We start from the raw sequence: 24656 nt of genomic DNA, 5'->3' as shown, positions 1-24656 counted from the left end.
GTAACCAGCAATTGACTGGATATAATGGAAGAGTGGTGCATTCGGAGTTATCTGTATTAATGGGACCCACATGATATGGATGAGAGCTATTAGGGTGAGAAAAAGCCTGGGAGCACAATGAAATATTTAAATATTAAACAAAACATTGTTGAAATCTCCATTGTACTTTAGTAGTTGAAGTCATTCTTGTGGTCATCACTGCCTTTCCCAAGCATAACAAGCTACTTAATATCACATGGACCCGTGCCATGAGGAATGATGATCAGTTTGTAAAATGCCAATAAAACAATTGCCTATATAAGCCACAATGTTTCATCCATATATTTCAATTTCCATGTGTAAGTATAGTTCAAATTTCAGAAATTTATTATTATCTAATAGAATATGCATGGTATATCAATGAGCAATTATCATACTGTTTCTATTAACAATTATTTGTATGATGAAAAAAGCAGACTCCCATTCTTGGATTTTTCTCAGTTTGCACACATTAGCATGACAGCCCCATTTCCACCTGACATGTGCCAGCAAGAGGCCAGGAACAGAGGCTTTTCTTATTAACTAAGATTTCTAAATGTATTACGTATTCACATTTAGAAACTCTAAATATCATAAAAGGTTAGCAAGGAAGTTTCCCTTCCACTCTGAACTTCCAAACACCAAGTCAACATTTTTGTTTGCATATCATCCCTGCAATCTATGTGCAAATAGAAGCATGCACCTGGAATGCAGGCTGATGTGTGATCGTGTTTACACAAAGTCCTCTGCACCTCTGCATATATCACTGGGCAATGCACCTTAGTTATCATTCCACATTTCAAATGTAAATCCATTGTATTGTTTCAGAGCTATAAAGTACTGCACCCCATGACTATTCCCAAAATTACTTAAGCACCCCGCTATGGGTATCCATTTGTTCTGTTTCCAGTCTTGCTCTTATAACCAATGCTGTAGTGAACAGCACTGTGTTGAGAAGCGGTGAACGTGGGCATCTTTGTCTTGTTCCCTTCCTCAGGGGGAATGCTTTCAACTCTCCCCCATTCAGGAAAATGTTGGCTGTGGGTTTGTCATAGATAGCTTTTATTACCTTAAGGTATGTCCGTTCTATGCTGATTGTGACGAACGGTTTTAATCATAAAGAAATGCTGGATTTTGTCAAAGGCTTTTTCTGCATCTATTCAGATTATCATGTGATTTTTGTTTTTAGTTTTATTGATGTGATGTATCACATTTATTGACTTGCGTATGTTAAACCATCCCTGCATCCCTAGTATGAAACCCACTTGAATCATGGTGGATTATCTTTTTGATATGCTGTTGGATTCAGTTAGCTTGGTTGTAGCATTTCTTATTATTCCATCTGTGGAATGTATTGGTTGAAATAATGAAAACATGTTCTATCCTCACTGCTTAGCACTTTATGTTTCTTTAATAGCCTTCCCAACAGGGCAACATAAAAGCAGGAGCCCTGCTAGTCTCCCCTTAACCCGGAATCCCCCCTTCTCCACAGCTCGCTCATTGGACAGGATAGACTGGGCGCCCAGGCTTCAAGGTAAGGACGTGCTCTGTCACCTAGAGGTGCAGTGCTTGGGAAGGCCAACCTTGGAGGGTTGCCTGCCAGCTTTACAGTGACAGAGGTGTTGAGAGGGACTGACCACCAGTGCAGAAGGCTGTGCTTTGTTGGTGACATAAAGGATTGTTTCACAGATTGTTGGGGAGGGACAATCCCAAGGCCTCCCCTGGCCCTGGTGCTGGCTCTGCACAAAGGCAATAAGAGAGGGATGCTGGTAAGGGCTGACCTGTTGCTGTGCTGGGGAGGAAGGTGCTGGGCTGAAATTCAGGAGGCTGAGGATGCAGCAGTCCCATAGGAGGTACATGACCTTCAGGATACATTTTCTTCATTGATGATCAATGGAAATGAGAAATCACTGACTATTTTTTCTATCATTGGAATCTACTCTCCACTGCTCATGCTGTTCCTGTCTTTTGGGGAAGATGGAGGATCAATCAGTGTGCACTGCACTGAGTGGAAGGAAGGAGAACTGTGACAAAAATTAAGGAAGGATGAGAGACGGGAGGGCCCTTCATCCAGCTGCTTGCAGAGTCCTCCTGAGGAGGAAAGCCCCGTGGCTCCCTGGAGAAGGAGCATTGAGGGCTGCGTGACTCCCACAGTGAAGTGTGTGGTATGTCTGAGGACACCCAGGCTGGTGGTCCATGAGGAGCCAGTGGCAGAGTGAGAAGAAGAAAGGCCAGGAGGGTGGCTGGAGGCCAGGCTCTGAGTCATTCTCCATGTGATGGAAACAGCCGGAGCCCAGTGGGCTTGGAGGTACAGGATGCGGTGGCTGATGACAGAACAATGTGGAGAGAGGCGTCATTTGTCAAATCCTTACTTTGTTCTGGGCATTGTGCTAAAAATTCTGATGGCTCATCCCATTTAGGGGCTGAAAGTTGCAGAGGTTTAGGAAGCTCACCCACGATACTGGAGCCCCCATCTCCTGCCCTAGTGCTGTCCACCTTCTCACCCAGCCACCACCTGTTTCGGGGGAACACACAGAAGTGGTAACCTCTTATGGAGAGGCAAGTAAATTCTGCTGTTTTTGTTATTCACAGAAAAACACTGGCTCGTGTGGGTTGGGAAGGTGAAATACCAGAAGTATTTCATCTGGTTATTTCTACCCATGCGACTCCTATAGTATTGAAATGCATAGGTTAGCATTTTTGGCCAATTTACTCAGCATTCTGGGTTAAAGGCTTTTATTTATTTTATTTATTTATTTATTTATTTATTTTTGAGATGGAGTTTCACTCTTGTTGCCCAAGCTGGAGTGCAATGGTGCGATCCTGGTTCATTGCAACCTCCGCCTCCCAGGTTCAAACTATTCTCCTGTCTCAGCCTCCCAAGTAGCTGAGATTATAGGCACATGCCACCACACTGGGCTAATTTTTTTGTATTTTTAGTAGAAATGAGATTTCACCATGTTGGTCAGGCTGGTTTCGAACTCCTGACCTCAGGTGATCTGCCCTCCTCGGCCTCTTAAAGTGCTGGGATTACAGGTGTGAGCCACCACGCCTGCCCTAAAGTCTTTTAAAATTCACTTGTATAAGTTGACTTAGTTTTCTTTAACCTTGTAGAAAAATACAAAAATGGCAATCTCTTTTATCACACAAATAATGTCTTTTTAATGGAGTGATTTTTTTCTAATTGAGGTATTATGTACTTTTCATTTACTAATTATTGTTTACATTTGAAGTGTTTTATGAATTAATATTTAATTGCATAGATGAAGATTACTAGTTATAGGCATTTTACTAACCAATACTCATTAAGCATAGCGTGGATTCATATGACATCAAGGAGCTATTTTATTTGGTAAAACGAAAAAGCACAAGAATGAACGAACGCAAGAACTGAAACAGTGGAGACACCTAGAATGACTTGTCTAAGATCTAAATCATTTTGTTGTCTTCCCAGCGTACTTATTATCCTGATCATTGTCATCAGCATTGTTTGGGTCCTTTTAGCACAGATTTCTCAAAATGGGTAACTCCATAACAGTTGGAAGCTTACGAATTCATATAATTTGTAAGAGGTCAATTTGGAAGTACCTATCTATTTTAAAATTCCAATAACCTGGGAATTTCATCCCATGTCTAGAGTCTTTTATGTAAAATATTTCCACAATTAGGAGAAATATGTGCATGGGGATTTTCTATGTAGCGGTGTTTTGATAGAATAGAAAATTGGGATAAACCAAATTTCCATCACGAAGGAAATAGTAATATGCTGAATAATAATACAGCGAATATTATGCAGGCTTTAAACATCAAAAAAGAGTTCAACTTCTGACTTCCGATGATGGTGTTGAAGCAGGTCACTGCTGGTTTACATTTGATTTTCATGTGGGAACTCTGGAAGTCCGCCTTAGTGATTTTACATGTGGCTAAATTGAGCTAATGACAAGCTGTTCGAAGTATGGCAAAATGGAACTTTAAAACAGTATCTTGTCAACAACCAAGAGGACCTGTTTCACATAAAGCCCACGCATTCATCTGCCTGTCCATCATTCTGTCTGTCCACACGGGCATCATTCGTTAGTGGAACTGAGTGCCCGCTGTCGAGCTGACAAGCCCATAACCTCCCTGTTCCTAGTCACACATTAATTCTTCAACAAGTCCCTTTTGATAGATTGTGATTAAGCTTAGCTACTATTTCCAATTGCTTCCCCAAACGTACTTCTCACTGTTCTCCCATCACACCCTTCAGCCCATCCATGCGGGGTTCCTTTGCTTTTCCCACCTTACACCAAACTCCCTATTTTTACTCCCACTTTTACCTCCTCTCCAAGACAAAACAAACAAAACTAGCATTTTAAAACTTAGTTGTAATCTTTCTTCCTTCATGAAAATTTCTCCAACAGCCACTCCCACGGTCCTGTGTGTTCCGGATATTTTAAAATAATGGCTATAAGGTTGAGCACTTCAGGATACGCTGTTTTGCTGTGTGCAGATGGAGGCAGTGGCTGGAGTGAATGAACGGCAACACTTGCTGGCAACCGGCAGAAGCTGAGAGACAGGGAACAGGCTCTCCTCCAGAGCCTCCAGGAGCCAGGCCTTTGGACACCTTGAATGTGGGCTTCTGGGAGACCATGCGTTTCTGTTATAAGCAGCCCAGTCTCTGGCAGTTTTTACGGCTGCCCTGGAACACTCATCTATACCTGTCTGACAAGGTCAAGCTCCAAGGAAGGGACTCTCTACATATCTACATTGTTTGCAGATTTTACAATAATCATTTATTCTTGCATGGCTGATCATTGTTAACCAATACAAATAAAATAATAAAGAAATGACCCACATTTTATGTTGGGAGTTTGATCTGCCATTTATCAAGTATGGAATCTTGAACAAGGGGTTAAACATCTGAATGTCTCCATCACTTCATCTCTAAAGTGGGGGTGCTCACACCCACTGGGCTCCCCCCGCCAGGTTGGTGCCGGACTCTCCCTGGGCCCCCCTGTTCTCTCACCAGCCACATCCATTCTCCCCCCAGAGGCGCTAGTGACTGTGCGTGGCTTTCCATTCCCACCACGTTTGTCTCTAACCCCAGTGGCAGATCAGTGTAAGAACACAGCTGAGTGCTTCTCACCTCCTTGCCCCTTCAAGGGCTCCTCACCACCCACCAGATCAGGTGCAAACTTCCAAGCCTTACTGGATCCCCTTCCACATTCTGAGCTCCGCCTGCCTTCCCATCGCTATCCTTCCCCACCTGCCTCCCTGGTAGAGAAAAGCGGAGTGTGTGATGCTGTCTGAATGCTGAGCACGGCCTTTTGCAGCCAGTCCACTGTGTACGCTGCCCCTATCGGAGACCTCCACCTTAACCCTTTCCAGCCTGTAGGCTCCTCCCAGGGCCCCACAACAGAAGTGACTTCCCTTGCCTTTGAATTTCTATAGCACAATCCCTACTGCCCCCCGTTAAAACTGCAAAGTCCTTTTGTGGAAAATAACTTTATTCATGACTGTGTTTATCACACTATCTTATGGAGAAGAGATGATCAATAAATATTTGCTGAATAAATGAATAGCAGTTACAAAACACTTGATTCATATGGAATTAATGTTGGTTCTCAAAGTGAAAAATTACAAACAGCACTGATATTCGGCCAGTATACAAGTCTGGTCACAGCAGTTGTATAATACTGAAGTACCCCCTGCCACTGACCTTTGGCCCCCAGATGCCTCCCACTGCCACTGCTCTCCCCACTGGGAACCCCTGAAGTTCCCACAGGCTCATAACTAAAGGGCTAATGTCTCGCACAGCAGCGAGCACCCAGGACCGAGCAGCCACATGGCCGGGTCTGCTGGTGAAAGCATCCATTCTGACTGATCAGGACCTGAGGGGCCTCATGGTTACATATTTTGATAATATCCCTAATTATAAATAAGGCTCAGTTATATAGTTTGAAAACAATGCTTCTCCTCATTGCAAAATCTCTTAGAAGACTCCGTAGATCCAGGAATGGAAATGGAAAATGACAGCGTGTCAATCTCTGAAGGTTTTGGGCATTTCCATTAGCACTCCATCTTCATGTAAACCAGAAGATATGCAGTTTCCTGCCTAGAGAGAAGAGAAGACACATCAGCACAGCGGCATGAAAGCTTCATCAGAAAACAATGCTTCATTAATCTGTGACAGGACAAGCGTCAGCAAACTTCCAGGCGGCTGGATTAGGCCTTCATCTATCCATCACCTTGGAGAGGAACAAAATAGGTGGCCTGGGAAGATAAGCACTAGGTTTCTATTAGTTAATATCTAAAGCGGAGGTTAACAAGCTATGGACACACAAGCCAAACCCAGCCCTCTTGGGGTTTTTTAAATCTACTTTCAACTTTTATTTTAGATTCAGCGGGCACATGTGCAGGTTTGTCACGTGGATATGAGCATACTCCCCAACAGTTGGCCTTTCACCCCTCCCCTCCCTCCCCATCCAGCAGTTCCCAGTTGTTGCCATCTTTAAGTCAATGAGTCCCCATGTTTAGCTCCCATTTATAAGAGAGAACATGCATTATGTTTTGTTTGTTTTTTGCTGGTTTTTTTTTTTTTTTTAATGGAGTCTTGCCCTGTAGCCCAGGCTAGAGTGCAGTGGCACAATCTTGGCTCACTGCAACCTCCGCCTCCCAGGTTCAAACGATTCTCCCTCCTCAGCCTCCCGAGTTTAAAGTATGTATTTTTTTAAAGAAAATCCTCTTCAGTGATTTTCTAATTTTTCTAGATTTTCTAGTTTTTCCATGCCTATTTTCAGCAGGTTGCATTAACATGTACGTGGTGACTTAGCTTTCTGAAAAGAGCTATGGTATAATGAATATATGCCACTTGCCAGAAACCATGGTCAACACCATACATACCTCATTCCTAAGTGACCTATAAACATAGCAAGGCTGGCATTACCATGCCCATTTTATAGATGAAAAGATCAAGGCTTGGTGATGCTAAGAGACAGGTCTAAAGCTACAAGTTTACAAAGTAACAAAGTCAATTTAATCATAAGCACATTCACTTCTTTGTTCACTTTTCAGATACAATGTTTAAAAATATGTCAAATGATAAGCATTTCCTATTTGTTTTACTCTGAAATATAGTGATGTCCTTTGCCAGCTACTTAAAAATGTTTTGTCCTTACTCTGAAATATGAATAACTGATGTGTTTGTTTTTGAGACAGGGTCTTACTCTGTCACTCAGGCTGAAGTGCAGTGGCATGATGTCGGCTCACTGCAACCTCTGCCTTCCAGGCTCAAGTGATCCTCCTACCTCAGCCTCCCAAGTAGCTGGAATTACAAGCGTACACCACCAGGCCTGGCCGATTTTTTGTAGAGATGGGGTTTTGCCATGTTGTCCAGGCTGGTCTTGAACTCCTGAGTGCAAGCAATTTGCCCACCTTGGCTTCCCAAAATGCTAGGATTACAAGCATGAGCCATAGTGCCCTGCCTACTGTTGTTTTTTGATAACTTGTTTGCCCTCTTCCTCCCTTTCTTACCCTCCCTCCCCTGATGGTCTCCCTCTCCTTTATAGATACAGGGCCAGTGGCCTCAAGCCAGTACCTTGGATGTTTACCTCTACTGTATTTTGGGCTAGGACATTATAATTAAATTTAATAACTATTGAAACAAACGTCAAGTTAAGATTTTGCTACAAGAAAGGTGGGTGGACATATATTAATAGTTTGGGAGTAAATGTCAATCTTTACGTTCCTGAGACCTTATATTTTATTTATTTATTTATTTTGAGATGGAGTCTCGCTCTGTTGCCCAGGCTGGAGTGCAGTGGCATGATCTCGGCTCACTGCAAGCTCCACGTCCCGGGGTTCACGCCATTCTCCTGTCTCAACCTCCCCAGTAGCTGGGACCACAGGCGCCCACCACCACGCCCGGCTAATTTTTTTTTTTTTTTTGTATTTTTAGTAGAGACGGGGTTTCACCGTGTTAGCCAGGATGGTCTCGATCTCCTGACCTTGTGATTCACCCGCCTCAGCCTCCCCAAGTGCTGGGATTACAGGTGTAGTAAGCCACTGGCCCAGTCTCTTTTTTTTTTTTTCCTGGCAGTTACTTTCTAAATTACATGTTTTTTGTTTTTTCCTTTAAAACCTTTATTGTTGACAGGTTTTTCCACTTACATTATTTATCTTGCCTGGGCCATGCTCTTCCCTAAAAATTCCACTAGAGAGAAACTAGCTTCCAAGCTTTTTCAGGTTGTTAGCAGAAGTAACTTCCTTGAGGCTGTAGCTCCGAGGAGCTCAGCTTTTTGCTGCCTGTTGGCTGAAGGCTGCCCACAGTTCCTTGCCATGTGGGCTTCCTCAACTTAGCAGTTTACTTCATCAAGCCAGCAAAGTGGATATGTGTCCCAGTCTCCTACGACGCAGTCCTAAATAATGTGGTGAAGGGAAGTCGTAATCAATGTCATCAATGGACTCAGATAAATCACATCATTTTTGCTGTGTTCTCTGGGTTAGAAGAAAGTCACAGGTCCCATTCACATGGAAGAGGAAGGGATTTCACAAAAGCATGGACACCAGGCACTTTATATCTATCCATGCCCACATTTTACAGAACAAGAGAAAGACCATAAAATGAAACTCTTGAGAAATGATCATTCAACATATGACTTTAGTTGCCAACCTCTCAGGCTACTTTTAAAAATATAAACATATGTTCCAGTTTAGATATATGAATATTTGAACACTTTCCTGGAGTCCTTCTTTTAAGATCACAAATAGGGAATATAACTTTATAGCTTAGATGATATATAAAAAATAAAGATCAGATGTAACCAGAAACTGAGTTTCTTTTTTTTTTTTTTTGAGATGGAGTCTCACTCTGTTGCCCAGGCTGGAGTGCAGGGGCATGATCTCAGTTCACCACAACCTCTGCCTCCCAGGTTCAAGTGATTCTCCTGCCTCAGCCTCCCAAGTAGCTGGGACTACAGGTGCCTGCCACCATGCCGGGCTAATTTTTGTATTTTTAGCAAAGATAGGGTTTCACTATGTCAGCCAGGCTGGTCTTGAACTCCCGACCTTGTGATCTGCTTGCCTTGGCCTCCCAAAGTTCTGGGATTACAGGCATGAGCCACTATGCCTCGCCCAGAAACTGAGTTTCTACTCTGGCAAGTTAAACATAAAAAATTAGTACATATCAGGCTGGGTGGCTCTAGGCCACATGCAAGCAAGCTGCAAACTGAATTGCCTCTGCAGCTGCAGAAGGCTAATTTCTACATTGATATTTGGAAACACTAACAGCTAGAAAACACCACTCTACTCATTTTTAAAAATAAGATCATATTAAATGATGTTACATGCATCATTTATATATTGCTCACAGTGCCAGCATCCTCAAATATGGTTTTAATTTTGGTAGATATCTTGCTAGGGGGAGCACATTTCCAAGTTATCCAGATATAGGGCCCTCTTTCCTTCTCTTTCTGTCCACATGCAACCAGATGCTTTGTGGAGTTAAAGTTGACATTTATTTAAATGCCACTTGGTGTCTGGTTTTTCACCTTTAATTTAGGGTTTTCTAGCTGGGATGTAAAAGAATCACTTGGAGGGATTTTTCAAAATACCAATGGCCAGGCCACTAGCCAGTCAATCAGAAGCAAAATCTCCTTGGATGGGACCTGGAAATCTTTAGAGTTTTCCAGCATTTTAATGAACATCCCTGATTAAGAACCACCGGGTCTTAAGAGTGTGGCATATGTATTTTTCAAGTTCCTAGAGGCTCTCCAAAACAAAACAAAAAAAATCTGCTTTATTCTCTGCCTGGTGTTGATGCATCAGTCTCTTTAGCCGTTAGTCTGATCCTGGAAATTTATGGTCATAATTTGATGAGCAATGTTGGGAATGACTTCTTCTTTTTTTTTTTTTTTTTTTGTTTTGAGACAGAGTCTCACTCTGTTGACCAGGCTGGAGTGTAGTGGGGCGATCTCCGCTCACTGCAACCTCCACCCCAATACTTTCATTTTTAAATATTATTTATGGCATCCAGATTTGCATAAGATGGACTGGGTCAATGGCCATGCCCTTTATAAATCAATATTCTTAAGTTCTGCAAATTCAGTTTCCTAAAGAGCCAAATCACATCCTACTCATCAGCAAGGCGGGTAGACATCATTTTCACAATCACTTCTAATTTTCCACCATTGTAAAAAAAAATAAAATATGTAATCACTTTCTTATTGTAAAATAAAGAATTTACTTTTCCAGGACCTACTGCCTCCCTGTCCCCCCCCCCCCTTTTTTTTTTTCAAACAATCTTGAACCCTTTGTCACGAGTCAGTTGCCAAGAGAAGCCTATTTGTTGGTTTGAGAGCAGTTCATGCAGACACAGACCACTTCCTCTGAGAATTCATTTGCTTCCTCAGGATGGAATCTGGCTGGGCCTCTGACCTTGCTGGTCACGTGGGCCGGGGCCTCCATCAGTCATACCCTGGACTCCTATCTGTGTCTAAACACCACGCCCCACCCCCAACTGCACGGCAGCCACTCGCATAGCACTCTGGGAGGGCTGTGGGCATGAGCAGCGAGGACTCCATCAGCAGCTCCCCCACATGAGCCCTGCTGATGAGGGGGCTTGCGAAGCAGCTTTGATGTGCTGGTAAATCCAGGTGCAAAACAGAACTCAAGTTAAGGCCTCCGCACAGCACTGCGTTCTAACTGTGAAGGATTCTTACTCTAGTGTCCTGTGTGGAGGTATTGGAATTGTCCATTGCTAAGACTCAGAGGAGAAAAGCACTTAGCATCGCAGGACTTGGAGCACCGGTGCTGAGGCAACCCTTCATTCATTCGTCGGATGTGTGTTAAGGCCCAGGGCAGGGGTCACGGATTCTCCTCTCACACAGCACGTGGGTGGCAGGACCAACACCGGGTCTGACCTCCCAGCCGGGGGCACAGGCTGCTCACCCCAGGCCTGGAATCTGTCAGATGCCCTTCCCGTGCTGACTTGACTTAGACAGGCCTCCTGACCTTCCCACAAAGGTCATGTGTGATTTGCAGGGGTTCTGGCCGCTTGAAAGGTTCCTGAGAAAGCACATGCAATGAGGACAGAGCTTGCAGAGGGAGGACAGGCATGCAGAAGGCTCTGTGTGCAGCCCCAGACCTGGGTACCTTCATCACCGTCCTCACCCCACCTCCGGGTGTGCACATAGGGAGCAGGTCTCCTGTGTTATGGCCCAAGCAGGGCTGTTAGGACACTGAGAACATTCCCTCCTCCCGCAGGAGAGAGAGGTCCAAGGTGCCCTACATCGTGCGCCAGTGCGTGGAGGAGATCGAGCGCCGAGGCATGGAGGAGGTGGGCATCTACCGCATGTCTGGGGTGGCCGCAGACATCCAGGCACTGAAGGCAGCCTTCAACGTCAGTGAGTGTCGGCCTGCGCAGGACGGGATGGAGGTGTGGGCAGTGGTGTCCGCGATGAGATCTCAGAGTGCTCCACGGCCCAGGCATGTCACATCCTTCTCTGTGTCTTTTCTTCATTTACTGTTTTATTATTTTTAAAAAAGAGAAAACAAGAGTTGTACAAACAGCTTCTATAGAAGCCAGTTTTTACACCATCGTACCCACTCGTGCCACTTGGTGCAGTGGACCAGGGGCTTCTGCGGGGCCTTGGCCTTCCTGCCTTGGGGTTGGACAGGAGGTGGAAGCCCAGGACTCAGTGCGGTCTGTCCACTGCCCTGTATGAGGATGTGGTGGGCAGAGGGCACTGATGAAATTCAGCGCAGGCCGGGGCTGCAGCCTCTCCGCCTCCATCTCACCAACCCTCACAGGCTTTGAAGGACCCGGACCTGCCTCAAATGCCAGGGGAGGGCACTGAGACCCCAGAGGGTCCTTCCCAGCATCTTCAAAGCAACAGGATTTTGTGCCTGCAGACCCTTCTTTGCAGCACAGACCACCCACCCTGACCAGGACCCCTAGAATGCCCAGCATCCCTGGGAGGGCCCTGTGGTAGTTTCAGCTCCCTCTGAGGGCCCAGAATGAACCTGGCCTGTGGTGAGGATGTAAGCACCAATGGCCAATTGGGTCCAAAGGAAGACACCGGTTCAAACACTGAAACCAATCAGATTCTCCCACGGCCTTCCTGCTATCAGATGACACTGGTGCAGGGGTGGTTGCTATGTACAGGGCAGAGCCACCCAATCCCCACGCAGGCGCTGTGTCCTGCCATGCTGGCCTCCTCCTGGCCATCACATCAGGCCAAGCAGGGGAGAGGAATGGGAATGCCCACGCACCCCTATCAACTCTGCAGACACAGAACCATGCACAGCTCTTGGGAGGAGTCAGATGAGCTGCTCAAAGCCCAGGAGGGACCCACACAGTGGTCAGGATGGCAGGGACGGTGCTTTAGCCAAGGCAGGGATGGTGGGTGACTCACTCAGGATCTTCAAGGAGGCCGCTGCATTTCCGTGCTCTTTCCAGATAACAAGGACGTGTCGGTGATGATGAGCGAGATGGACGTGAACGCCATCGCAGGCACGCTGAAGCTGTATTTCCGTGAGCTGCCCGAGCCCCTCTTCACTGACGAGTTCTACCCCAACTTCGCAGAGGGCATCGGTGAGCACTGGAGGCCTTGGCCTCATGGGAGACGTCTCCTCCACGTGCACTGCTGCCCTCAGAGGCTGTGAAAAGTGAGGTGTGGGAACCTGAGCTGTGCTTCCTCTGCCATGGTCGGAATTTTAACCCAACCTCAAAAAGCAGGGGACCAAAACTGAGCCTATCCTGGAAGGCCTTGCCCATCCCCAGAGGGGTCCCCATCCATATTTCTCAAGGAGGCCAAGTGGGTGAAATGGTCAGCACTGCCGTGCTGTGGGGTCCTAAAGTCTGCTGTCCTCCTTCCTGCAGACCAGGGCTAAACACTGGTGCCCAGGTGCTCTTGCCATGGGTCCTGGTCCAGCCAAGCATGGTTTCAAACATGACCTGACCCTTAGTCAACCTGGAGGCTGATGTCTAGAGTGGGCGCTGGAGCGTGCAGCACCTGTAGCCTGTGCATCACCCTTAGGGCAGGTCTGCCTCCCGGGCCCATGCACAGAGGACCTGGTCTCCCAGCCTGCAGGTGCCCCTGTGGTGTCCAGGACAACGAGGGGTTCTCTGCGTACTTGGTGGGGCTGGGACCCTCCCACTTCCCACCTCCTTGTGTCCCTCACTCCCCTGTTTCATTCCATGCTGAGCCTCCCCTGCCTTGGGCTCCCTGGGGAGGGGGTGGTGGCAGGAGTTGCCCGAGGGCAGCTCTGCCCATGAGCAGCTGCTCTAGCGGCTCCTCCTGCTGCTGTTTGCCGGGTGCTGCTGACCCCTGCGAGGCAGAGAAAAGGCGTTCAGGTGGTTCACACCCCACACAGGTGCCCCTCACAGGGTCCTCACTGGCGGCCAGCGCTGTGGGTGTGACGATGATGACAAGCCTAAACTGCGCAAGGACTCGTGTCCCGGGCGCTCCATGTGACCACCTCGGGAGAGGTCTCCGGCTTGTCGTAACCCAGGGGAGTGACCCACTGCCTCCTGCAGCTCTTTCAGACCCAGTTGCAAAGAAGAGCTGCATGCTCAACCTGTTGTCGTCCCTGCCGGAGGCCAACCTGCTCACCTTCCTTTTCCTTCTAGACCGCCTGGAAAGGTAGCCCAGCTCTCTTGTGGCTGCCCAGGACACCAGGTCTCCAGGCCGTGGGGTGCCCCTCTGCTCCCACCAGACCCCCAGCACCACGGACCTATCCCCTGACCCCTGTCTGCAGTAACTCACTGCTTCTAAGGACTAGCACCACTGCCACCCCCGCCCCTGCCTCTCCTCTTTGCCACCCTCCTCCCTCTGCACTGTGGCCTTAACAAAGAGCTCAGAGCTTTGGCCGTGGCCAGCAGTGCATTTGGACCGCCCCCCCTTCCCTCCCAAGCACATCATGAAGACCTCCCCATCAGCCCAGAGCTGGCCCCTTGTCCTGGGCCACTGAGACCCAGAAGTACCAAGGCTGGAGTCAGCTTGCAGCACAGCCAGGGTCGAGGTCACTCCCTCCCTGAGGACTCTAGCACGGCACAGCCCCTCTGCCTCTCTCCTGGTGGTGGCGTTGAAACAGCACCCTCTGCTTCGGTCCTCTACAGGATGGCAGAGAAGGAGGCAGTCAATAAGATGTCCCTGCACAACCTTGGCACGGTGTTTGGCCCCACGCTGCTCCGGCCCTCCGAGAAGGAGAGCAAGCTCCCTGCCAACCCCAGCCAGCCCATCACCATGACTGACAGCTGGTCCTTGGAGGTCATGTCCCAGGTATGGGAAGACAGCCTCCAGCCCATGCAACCCCAGCCTGACAGAGGTGGCCTCTGCCTGCCCCACCCCCAGTCCTGCCCATCTTCCCACTTGCATTGTATGTGGTGGTGGCTGAGATTCAGAGACAGGGACTTGCCTAGGTTTGCATGGATGGGAGTGATAGGGGGTGCCCAGGCCACCTCCTGGTCCTGCTGGTGCACCTTGCTGGGGGCTTAAAACCACCCCAAGTGTTCGAGTGTGGTGGCTCATGCCTGTAATCCCAGCACTTTGGGAGGCCGAGGCAGGACAACTGAACCCAGGTGTTTGAGACCAGTCTGGGCAATGTAGCAAACCCCATCTCCAGAAAAAATACAAAGAAAAATTAGGCAGGCATTGGGGCACACATCTGTAATCCTAGGTATCTGGGAGGCTGACACAGGAGGATTGCTTGAGCCCAGGAGTTAGAGGCTGCAGTGATCCATGATGGAGCCACTGTACTCCAGCCTGGGGGACAGAGCAAGGCCCTGTGCATCTCTAAAATAAATAACCACCCCTCACCCAACAAGTCATGCCTTGTCAGGACCCCACCCCACCCCCGTCCCACTGTAAGGGGTTCATGACACCAGCAGGGGTTTCTAGCACCTGAGGTGGACTTGGGAGCTTGGGCCCCAAAGACCTCCCCACCAGCAGCTGTGAGCCCCGCTCTGAGCCACTCTCCTCTTCCCCACTCCGCGAGGGCAGGTCGAGGTGCTGCTGTACTTCTTGCGGCTGGAGGCCATCCCTGCCCTGGACAGCAAGGGACAGAGCATCCTGTTCTCCACCGATGTCTAAAGGTCCCAGTCCATCTCCTGGAGGCGGACAGACGGCCTGGAAACCTCTGGCTAATCAGGCCATCTGTAGAGTGGGAATCAAGATTTTCTGAGGCATCCTTGGGCCACCCCCAGGTGTCAGGCCATCTGCCAAGAGACAGCGGCCCAAAGCAGAAGGACAGGTGGCCTGGGCAGATCCCGCCCAGGTCTGAAAGCCCCAGGCTGGCCTCAGACTGTGGGTTTTTTATGTGGCCACCCGAGGGCGCCCCAAACCAGTTCATCTCGGAGTCCAGGCCTGGCCCTGGGAGACAGGGTGAAAGCAGTGGTTTTTATGAACTTAACTTATAGAGTCTAAAAGATTTCTACTGAATCACTTGTCAAGAAGCGCCCTCTCTGGGGAGAAGGGAACGTGACCGGATTCCCTCACTGTTGTATCTTGAATAAACGCTGCTGCTTCATCCTGTGGGGGCCATGGCCCTGTCCCTGTGTGGGTGGGGCCTCTTCCATTTCCCTGACTTAGAAACCACAGTCCACCTAGAACAGGGTTTGAGAGGCTTAGTCAGCACTGGGTAGCGTTTTGACTCCATTCTTGGCTTTCTTCTTTTTCTTCCCAGAAGGATTTTTGTGCAGAAATGGTTCTTTTGTTGCCGTGTTAGTCCTCCTTGGAAGGCAGCTCAGAAGGCCCGTGAAATGTCGGGGGACAGGACCTCCAGGGAGGGAATCCCAGGCTATGCACCTTAGGGTTCGTTCTCCAGGGAGAGCGACCTCGTCCCCCGATCCTGACCGCCCTTCCGGCCCACGCTCTCCTGTTTGGCTTCCACAGGCCTGGACTTCTCTGGCTTCTCTGCCCACACACTCCCTGCCCCCAGTGTCCCTGCCCCTGCCCCAGCACAGGTGACTTCATTTCTGTCCTCTCAGCTCAGTGGACTCGCTCAACTTTTGTATAAGTCTCCACTTGGTGGTAGCAGCTTGCTGATGACTTGTTTTAAAACTTTCATCCTAAATAACCTTTTGATGCTTGAATATTTTTAAGTTTTATACATAGTTTCTAATTTTTTCCCCAACAGATCCAGATACCTAATAAGATGCTGGAATGTAATCCTGGACAATCCGTGTCCTGGCAGCATTTGGTCTTCCTCTAAGCGCCTGGCTCCGCTGTTCTCAGGAGTGGGTTCTGAAGTCTCTGGAGAACAGGATACGTGGAGGGTTAGGAAGGGGCTAGGCCTAGAGACGGGAGACTCCCTCCCGGAGCAGGTGGAGGCACAGGACCATTCGCTACCCCATCTGCCGACAGCTGCGGGGGAGCCCAGGCATTGTTTGTAAGCCCTCCTGACCACCTGGCTCAAAGAAAACAGAAGCATGGAGGCCGCCAAGTATTTTCAAGAAATAACCCCATGAACATGGCATCACTTTTTTAGAAAGAGGGGCTTGGGGCAGGCAGAGGAGAGAAGGGAGAGCAAACTGAGAGCCAAGTTTCCAGACGGTCCTGCAGGAGGAGAGGATGCAGCTGCGCAGAGGGAAGCAGGATCACATTTAAGGAAGTGTGTGGGGTCCCTGGATGACACCAGCACCCAGTGCGGCTCTGTCTGGCAACCGCTCCCAAGGTGGCAGGAGTGGGTGTCCCCTGTGTGTCAGTGGGCAGCTCCTGCTGAGCCCGCAGCTCACTGGGGAGCCTGACAGCGGGGCCATGTGCCTGACACTCCTCTCTGCTTGTGGACCTGGCAAGGCAGGGAGCAGAAAACAGAGCCACTTGAAGGCTTTCTGTCTGCGTCTGTGTGCAGTGTGGATTTAGTTGTGCTTTTTTCTTGCTGGGAGAGCACAGCCACCATTTACAAGCAGTGTCACCCTCGTGGGTGGCGAGGACAGAACAGGAGCCTCTGCTCTCTGTACCTATCTGGGCCCGGTGGGCTCCCTTGTCCTGGCTTCCATCTCTGTCTCAGCGACCATTCAGCCCTGCGCAGGAACACATGTTGCTTAGAAAAGCCAAATCCAGCCTTGTCTCTGCCTCCTCTGGTCTCATGATGTGCATCTGTTACCTTGAAACTGGAAACCAGTCTATCAATGTCTGTGCCAATTTTTTATTCCCTCCCCAACCTCCTTCCCCATACGACTTTTTATTTATGTAGGATGTGTGCTGTCTAATGATGGGATGACCACACTTTTCCATGTTCTAAAAGTGCTCCTCTCCCGCAGGGTCCCAGGGCTGGTGGTTGCTTTGGGTCTACAGCTACGTCTTACCCGCCTCCTGCCTCAACAGCCTGTGTGGTGGCAAAGCCGGTGTGGGGCTGGGGAACGCAGCGTTCTCCAGGAGGGGGACCCGGCTCTCCTTCTGCAATGCAGGCGAAGGCCTAGATGCCAGTGTGACCTCCCACAAGGCGTGGCTTCCAGACTCCCCGGCCGGAAGTGATGCTTTTTTGCCGTGGGCCCTGGGTTTGAAGCAGCCTGGCTTTCTCTTGGTAAGTGGCTGGTGTCTTAGCAGCTGCAATCTGAGCTCAGCCACCTACACACCACCGTGGCCGACACTTTCATTAAGAAGTTTCCTGAGACGACTTGCGTGCATGTTGACTTCATGATCAGCGCCGCTGGGAAGAACCCCTGAGCCGGTGGGGTGGGGCTGGAAGCAGCAGGTGCAGTGATGGGGCTGGGTGCCCAGGAGGCCTCAGTGCTCAATCAGGCCAAGGTGGCCAAGCCCAGGCTGCAGGGAAGGCCGGCCTGGGGGGTGTGGGTGAGCACAGGCAGGCACCAGCTGGGCAGTGTTAGGATGCTGGAGCAGCATCCGTAACTCCACTGAGTGGGGTAGTCTGGTTGGGGCAGGGACCGCTGTTGCTTTGGCAGAGAGAGATGATCCCCACTGGGGAGAGGCTGTTCTGACTCTGCAGGTGGGACAGGGACAGATGGCCACCAGGGTGACCCGGCTGGTCTTCCTTTGCTATGCTAAGCCCTGGGACATGGAGGATTCCTGCCACACAGCCTGGGCCCGGGTTCTTACCTGTGGCCACCGCTCTGGCACGAGCCCCTCAGTCTTGGGTGGTTTTTGCCTGGTCCAGGATTTGGTGTTGCTGCTGAGTTCAGCCTTTCCACCACCTCCGCATGGGCTGTGGGTGTTGTCAGCTGCCTCCCGCCTTGGCTTCAGTAGCTCACCCAGCTTACAGGGGAGCTGCCCTGGGCTGGAGATGGGCACGCACCCTGGGTCCTACTTGAATGAATGCAGCTTGAGGAGACCCGGCCATATACACTGGGCCACGGGTTACCTTCGGCAATGCCCACATCAGCTGTCAGCCTGAGCCTCCCCAGGAGAGCAAGGCTCACATGACAAAGGCTGCCCGTGGCCAATGAGGTGGCTGAGCCCAGCCAGGACCTTTCTCGGACTCCCGGGATGTGGCTCTGCTCGTGAGCTGCCTGGTCAGCTCTCTCGGGGTGAGAGGGGCTTGTCACACGGGCCCCTGCCTGCAGTGTGACCCTTCTCAGCTTCTCTCAGCAGCCCTGCCTGCGGAGTGTCACCGCCACCATGATCATTTCCCTGACACTGCGAGGGTGTGGGGACGTCCTGGGTAGAGACAGGGCCCATGGCAGCAGCAGGCTCAGGGGCGCCCTGCACTGGTGGGCTGGGGACCTGGTGGAGACCACGCCAAGGGCTGGACAAGGGGACGAGCCTCCACCCTGGCCTCTCCGCAGGCCTCAGCAGCCCCTCCCACAGGCAGAAGGGTTGACACTGGGTTCTGCCCTCACTGCAAGAGCTGCAAGTGCCATGTGCTGTTCTGCCCAATCTGGTGTCTGCAGGTGAGGGAAGGGCTGCCGCTGGCCCGTTTCTGAGTGTTCAGCACCTAAGGGTGACAGCACTGTCTGTCCCTACCCTCCAGGTCCTGTTTGAAAATCAAACCCATGCTCACAGGCCAATTTTTTTTTCTTTTAGAGACAGGGTCTCACTTTGTCACCCAAGCTGGAGTGCAGTGGTGCGATTATAGCTCAATGCAGCCTCCAATTCCCGGACTCAAGGGACCTTCCTGCCTCAGCCTGCCAAGTAGCTTGGACTATAGCTGTGTGTTTTATTATTATTTTGTAGACATGGGGTCTGGCTATGTTGTCCAGGCTATTCTCAAAATTCCCGGCCTCGAGCAATCCTCCTGCCTTGGCCTCTCAAAGGTTGGGATTACAGGTGTGAGGCAAGGCACCCAGCTCAGCCACAGAGCCCTGTTGCATCTCTCTTACTAGGAGCAAGAGCTGACTGCCCCCTCATCCCCATTCCAGAGTGTTGGGGCTGTGTTGAGCCGAGGCCAGGCCACTGGCATGGGCCCAGGGAGCGGGATCATTCACTGCTGCCCCAAATCTGAGATCATTCCACCTTGACAAGACTTCCTCATCCAATCCCTTTACTTGACAGCTGGGGAAACCAATGCGCACAGAGCACCCCCAGCTCACTCGGGGTCTCAGAGCTGATCCATGAGCAGAGGCTGAGATCCTGGGATCTTGTCCCCCAGCCTCCCTGCAAGCTTACTCCCTTTCTGCTGGAAGAGATGGGGCCGGACCTCGACCAGCAGCCCTGGCCTGGACGTGACTGTGCTCATGCAGGTATTGAGGCCGAGATGCCCCAGCATCATATGTTTTTCTTTTTTTTTTTCTTTCTTTTTTGAGATTGGCTCACTGCAACCTCTGCCTCCCGCTTAAAGTGATTCTCCTGCCTCAGTCTTCCAAGTAGCTGGGCCTACAGGCTTGTACCACCACACCTGACTAATTTTTGTATTTTTACTAGAGACGGGGTTTCCCCATGTTGGCCAGGCTCGTTTCGAACTCCTGACATCAGGTGATCCACCTGCCTTGGCCTCCCAAAGTGCTAGGATTACAGGCATGAGCCATGGTGTCACTTAAATGTAGTGAGAGGCCGGGCTTGGCGGCTCATGCCTGTAATCCCAGTGCTTTGAGAGGACGAGGCTGTCAGATCACCTAAGGTCAGGAGTTCGAGACCAGCCTGGCCAATATGGTGAAACCGTGTCTCTATAAAACAATAGAAAAAAATATCCCTGCATGGTGGTGAGTACCTGTAGTCCCAGTTACTCAGGAGGCTGAGGCATGAGAATCGCTTAAACCTCAGAGACGGAGGCTGCAGTAAGCTGAGATGGCGCCACTGCACTCCAGCCTGGGTGACAGAGCAAGACTTTGTCTCTAAATAATTAAATAAATATGGCCGAGCATGGTGCCTTAGGCCTGTAATCCCAACACTTTGGGAGGCTGAGGCAGGTGGTTCATGAGGTCAGGAGCCCGAGACCAGCCTGGCCAAGATGGTGAAACACTGTCTCTACTAAAAATACAAAAATTAGCCAGCTGTGGTGGCAGGCACCTGTAATCCCAGCTACTTGGGACACTGAGGCAGGAGAATCGCTTGAAACTGGAAGTCAGAGGTTGCAGTGAGCCGAGATTGCACCACTGCACCCTAGCCTGGGTGATGGAGCAAGACTCCATCTCAACTAAATAAATTAATAAATACAGAGCAAGATTCCATCTTAAATAAATAAATAAACATACACCTGTAATCCTAGCACTTCGGGAGGCTAAGACAGGTAGATCACCTGAGGTCAGGAGTTCGAGACCAGCCTGACCAATATGGCAAAACTCCATCTCTACTAAAAATACAAAAATTAGCCAGGCCTTTTGACGTGTGCCTGTAGTCCCAGCTACTTGGGAGGCTGAGACAGGAGAATTGCTTGAACCCAGGAGGTGGAGGTTGCAGTGAGCCGAGATCTCGGCTGCACTTCAGCCTGGGTGACAGAGTGAGACTCTGTCTCAAAAGGAATAAAAAAAATACAAAAAAAAAAATGTAGTATGATTGCAGAGTTGTGCCGCAGAAGCGTGCTGGTCCTATCCATGTAGTGAAGGCTGATTTCATACAGAAATGTCACAATAACTTTTTTTTCTTTTTCTTTTTTTTTGAGACGGAGTCTCGCTCTGTCACCCAGGCTGGAGTGCAGTGGCGCGATCTCAGCTCACTGCAAGCTCTGCCTCCCGGGTTTATGCCCTTCTCCTGCCTCAGCCTCCTGAGTAGCTGGGACTACAGGCCTGTGCAGCAGATGCTGGGGGGCCACTAGGCCCAGGCAGTCTTGGGACTTGTGTCTCTCCTGCTGTGCATCCATACTGGGTGCTTTAGAAATGGCAGGCAGACCAGAAGCCTCTGTTGCAAGTGAGGACAAAGTGTGGGAAGGCCGTGAGGGTCTGCAGTACTAAATGGCCTTGTCCTCAACCTGCAGTGCACTCTTGATGCGCTGGAAAGCCGCCTCCTTCTCCTGGTCCAGGTCTTCAGCAGTGACCCGGTACCCCAGCTCTAAGGGAGGTGGCAGCATCAAAGGCTCCCCTCGCCTGCGTGGCAGCAGGGGAAACTTGCATCTACAGGGCCTAGAGGCCTGGGATCTGGGGGAGCCACCCCTGGGGGCGAGTGTCTGCCCTGGTGCTGTATCTGCCATCTTTTCACACTGGGTGTGACCCGAAGAGACAGCCTGAGGTCCGTCCTCACTCACTGTGTTTCAGGAACTGAGGTTCAGCTGGCAGTGGGATGAGGCTGGCCCCCTTCTCCGCTTTCGTTCCGGGAGGCCTCCCGTAGAGCGGTAGGGGCTCGAGATGGCATTTCGTTTGGGGCACGAGCTGGTCCGGGAGGTCTGGGATCTCTGGTTCTGACCTCTGGGCACCTGCTGCAGCTGTGGCTGAGGCCCAGAAATGTGAAGGGCCTCCATCCACTCCAGTAGTGACCCCAACGTGGGGTTCAATGTGGAGGGGGGAGGGGCTGCTGCGGCAGCTGCAGGAGCAGAAGTGCCACACCTTGTTCTTCTCATGCCCACATCCATGCTTGCAGCTGGGAAGGGGGCAGGAATCAGCGAGGTGACCTGGGCTGAGTCCTGGGAATGGGAAGAGGTGGCAGGAAGGGGATCTGAGGAGGAGAACAGGGGGCCTGGTGGTTTGTGCTTCTTCCCAGACATGGGAGCTGTAGAGGGGACACCTGCAGCAGATGCTAAGGGGGCCAGTAGGCCCAGGCAGTCTTGGGACTTGTGTGTCTCCTGCTGTACATCCATACTGGGTGCTTTAGAAATGGCAGGCAGACCAGAAGTCCCTGTTGCAAGTGAGGACAAAGTGTGGGAAGGTCGTGAGGGTCTGCAGTCCGAGATGGCCTTGTCCTCAACCTGCAGTGCACTGTTGATGCGCTGGAATGCCGCCTCCTTCTCCCGGTCCAGGTCTTCAACAGTGACCCGGTACCCCAGCTCTAAGGGAGGTGGCAGCATCAAAGGCTCCCCTCGCCTGCGTGGCAGCAGGGGAAACTTGTGTGTACTGGGCCTAGAGGCCTCGGATGTGGAGGAGTCATTCCTGAGGGCGAGTGTCTGCCCTGGTGCTATATCTGCTGCCTTTTCACACTGGGTGTGACCTGAAGAGACAGCCTGAGGCCTGTCCTCACTCACTGTCTTTGAGGAACTGAGGGTCAGCTGGCAGTGGGATGAGGCTGGCCCCCTCCTCCGCTTTAGCCCCGGCAAGCCTCCCGTGGAGCTGTAGGAGCTGGAGATGGCATTTCGGTTGGTGCAGGAGCTCGTCCAGGAGGTCTGGGATGTCTGGTTATATCTGATTTCTGACCTCTGGGCATGGAGGTCTGTCTGCAGAGGCCCGGGCCCGGGCACAAAGGGAGAGAGGCCTCTATTGTCCCGCAGGGGCCGAAATGCAGACGGTGCATCCCCGGTGACCTCGGGGACCCTTCTCTGATCACCAGGATTCTCTTGGACTCTAGGGTCCTTGTCCTGCTCAGGCATCCCTGCCCCGCTCTCCTTGAGGGCCCTCAACACTATCTTCCCTGGACACAAGTCTGGGGACAGCCGGGTGTTGTGGACCCCAAAGGGGTGACTCCCGGCTCCTGGGCCCCACAGAGAGTCCATGTTCTCAGTGCAGTGGCTGAGCTGGAGGACGCCCTGGAACTCGGAGCACACAGCACTGGCTTGCTGTGGTACCTGTGCAATCAAATTGAAGGCAGGATCCCAGGAAGGAAGGCAGGGCTTGCAGGATCACGGAAAACCTTCTTAGAGTTGTCTTGACACCACTGATGTCAAGTGTCCGGGTGCTTGTAGGATGGCCTGCCACTCAGTCCACGGGCAGGAGCAACGGGGAGATCCCACAGGCAAAGTGAACTGGGGGATGGGCTGAACGGGCTCCAGGCAACTGAGCCCTACTGGCAGGTCCTCGGCCTGGGCCCGAACAGGAAGGAGGGGCACAGAGTGCCCAGGTAACCGCTCCTGGGAGCAGTGGGGAACCGTCGGTTGCTTGAACTCTCGAGAGCTGGGCTCTGAGCGTCCTCGTCCAGCCGCCAACTCGGCCAACGGCTAAGCCAGCAGTTTCTTCTGTTGCCGGGCAACGCGCCTTTTAAACCTGAGGGAGCGGGCGCGTGAGCACATCACGGCGCCCGTGACAGAGCGAGCTTAACGGATTAATAAGCGCAGCCAGGTACCCGCGCGAGGCGCTTGCTGGCAATGGCGGGAGGCGGACGTGGGGGGTCATGCAATAGGTACTGGAAGGAGAGAGGCGAGCACAAAGGTCGCGGGAGGAACAGGTGCCCACAATGGCGGCAGATCTGCCCGTGGATCACTGAAGATTCCTGCTCTCCTGCTGAGGTGGAGATTGCAGTGAGCTGAGATCGCACCATTGCACTCCAGCCTGGGCAACAAGTGCAAAACTCAGTCTCCAGATAAAGAAAAGAAAAAGAAAAAAAAGAGGCCGGGCGTGGTGGCTTATGCCTATAATCCTAGCACTTTGGGAGGTCGGGGCAGACGGATCACGAGATCAGGAGTTGGAGACCAGCCTGGCCAACATAGTGAAACCCCGTCTCTAGTAAAAATACAAATTTAGCCAGACATGGTGGCACGCCCCTGTAGTCCCAGCTACTCCGGCGGCTGAGACTGGAGAATCACTTGAACCCGGGGGCTGGGAAGGGATTGCGATGCGCCGAGATCGCGCCACTGCACTCCAGCCCTGGGCAACAGAGCCAGACTCTTTTTTTTTTTTTTTTTTTTTGAGACGGAGTCTCCCTCTGTCGCCCAGGCTGGATTCCAGTGGCCTGATCTCGGCTCACCGCAAGCTCCGCCTACCGGGTTCACGCCATTCTCCTGCCTCAGCCTCTGGAGTAGCTCGGACTACAGGCGCCCGCCACCACACCCGGCTAATTTTTTTTGTATTTTTAGTAGAGACGGGGTTTGACCGTGTTAGCCAGGATGGTCTCGATCTCCTGACCTCGTGATCAGCCCGCCTCGGCCTACCAAAGTGCCGGGATTTAAGGCGTGAGCCACAGCGCCCGGCCCCGAGAGTGAATATCTTTTAACAGTGTTTTTCCTGATCTTTTCCAACATCTTCATTGTGGTTCTGTCCTTTATTTTTTGGTTAAATCCAGAGGTTTACTTCTGCCTGTATCTTTCCAAACTATTAATCTGTTCACAATCACTCTCCCATTTAAACCCTTCAGCAGCCCCAGTACCTTCGTAATAAGGTCTCCTTAGCTTGGTATCCAGAACACTTCAATACTGGGCTTTGACCCCTGTTCTCCTTCCCCCACCTCTGTTTAGGTGCTTCACTGAGC

The 24656-nt window shown here is 50.9% G+C and overlaps 1 long non-coding RNA gene and 3 pseudogenes across 6 annotated transcripts in view; 2 read left to right on the top strand and 2 right to left on the bottom strand.

Moving 5' to 3' along the window:
- Positions 1 to 4858, top strand: part of FAM230F (family with sequence similarity 230 member F) — a 31723-nt gene extending 26865 nt beyond the window's left edge. For all 3 annotated transcript variants that reach the window (NR_165500.3, NR_136571.2, NR_165501.3), the window contains one exon: positions 4419 to 4858. This is a non-coding gene — a long non-coding RNA (family with sequence similarity 230 member F). The remainder of the gene's footprint in view (positions 1 to 4418) is intronic.
- Positions 4859 to 8835: 3977 nt separating this feature from the next.
- POM121L15P (POM121 transmembrane nucleoporin like 15, pseudogene) lies at positions 8836 to 23614 on the bottom strand (annotated as a pseudogene). 2 transcript variants are annotated; one of them, NR_170942.1, is made up of 7 exons: positions 21574 to 23614; positions 18057 to 18263; positions 17306 to 17681; positions 16145 to 16250; positions 13982 to 14110; positions 12411 to 13325; positions 8836 to 11518 (listed from the first exon to the last, which is right to left on the bottom strand). The product of NR_170942.1 is annotated as a POM121 transmembrane nucleoporin like 15, pseudogene, transcript variant 2 (transcript). The 2 variants fall into 2 exon arrangements; NR_135922.1 differs by lacking the exon at positions 21574 to 23614 and having other exon boundaries at positions 18057 to 19782.
- BCRP7 (BCR pseudogene 7) lies at positions 11257 to 17616 on the top strand (annotated as a pseudogene).
- On the bottom strand, positions 21471 to 23352 carry LOC102724728 (POM121 transmembrane nucleoporin pseudogene; annotated as a pseudogene). Its single transcript, NR_136575.1, is given in 1 exon segment — positions 21471 to 23352. The product of NR_136575.1 is annotated as a POM121 transmembrane nucleoporin pseudogene (transcript).
- Positions 23615 to 24656: the final 1042 nt, after the last annotated feature.

The sequence above is a fragment of the Homo sapiens genome, chromosome 22, assembly GCF_000001405.40.
Source record: "Homo sapiens chromosome 22, GRCh38.p14 Primary Assembly".
NCBI classification, from domain to species: domain Eukaryota; kingdom Metazoa; phylum Chordata; class Mammalia; order Primates; family Hominidae; genus Homo; species Homo sapiens.
This window is presented reverse-complemented; position numbering and strand designations above follow the sequence as displayed.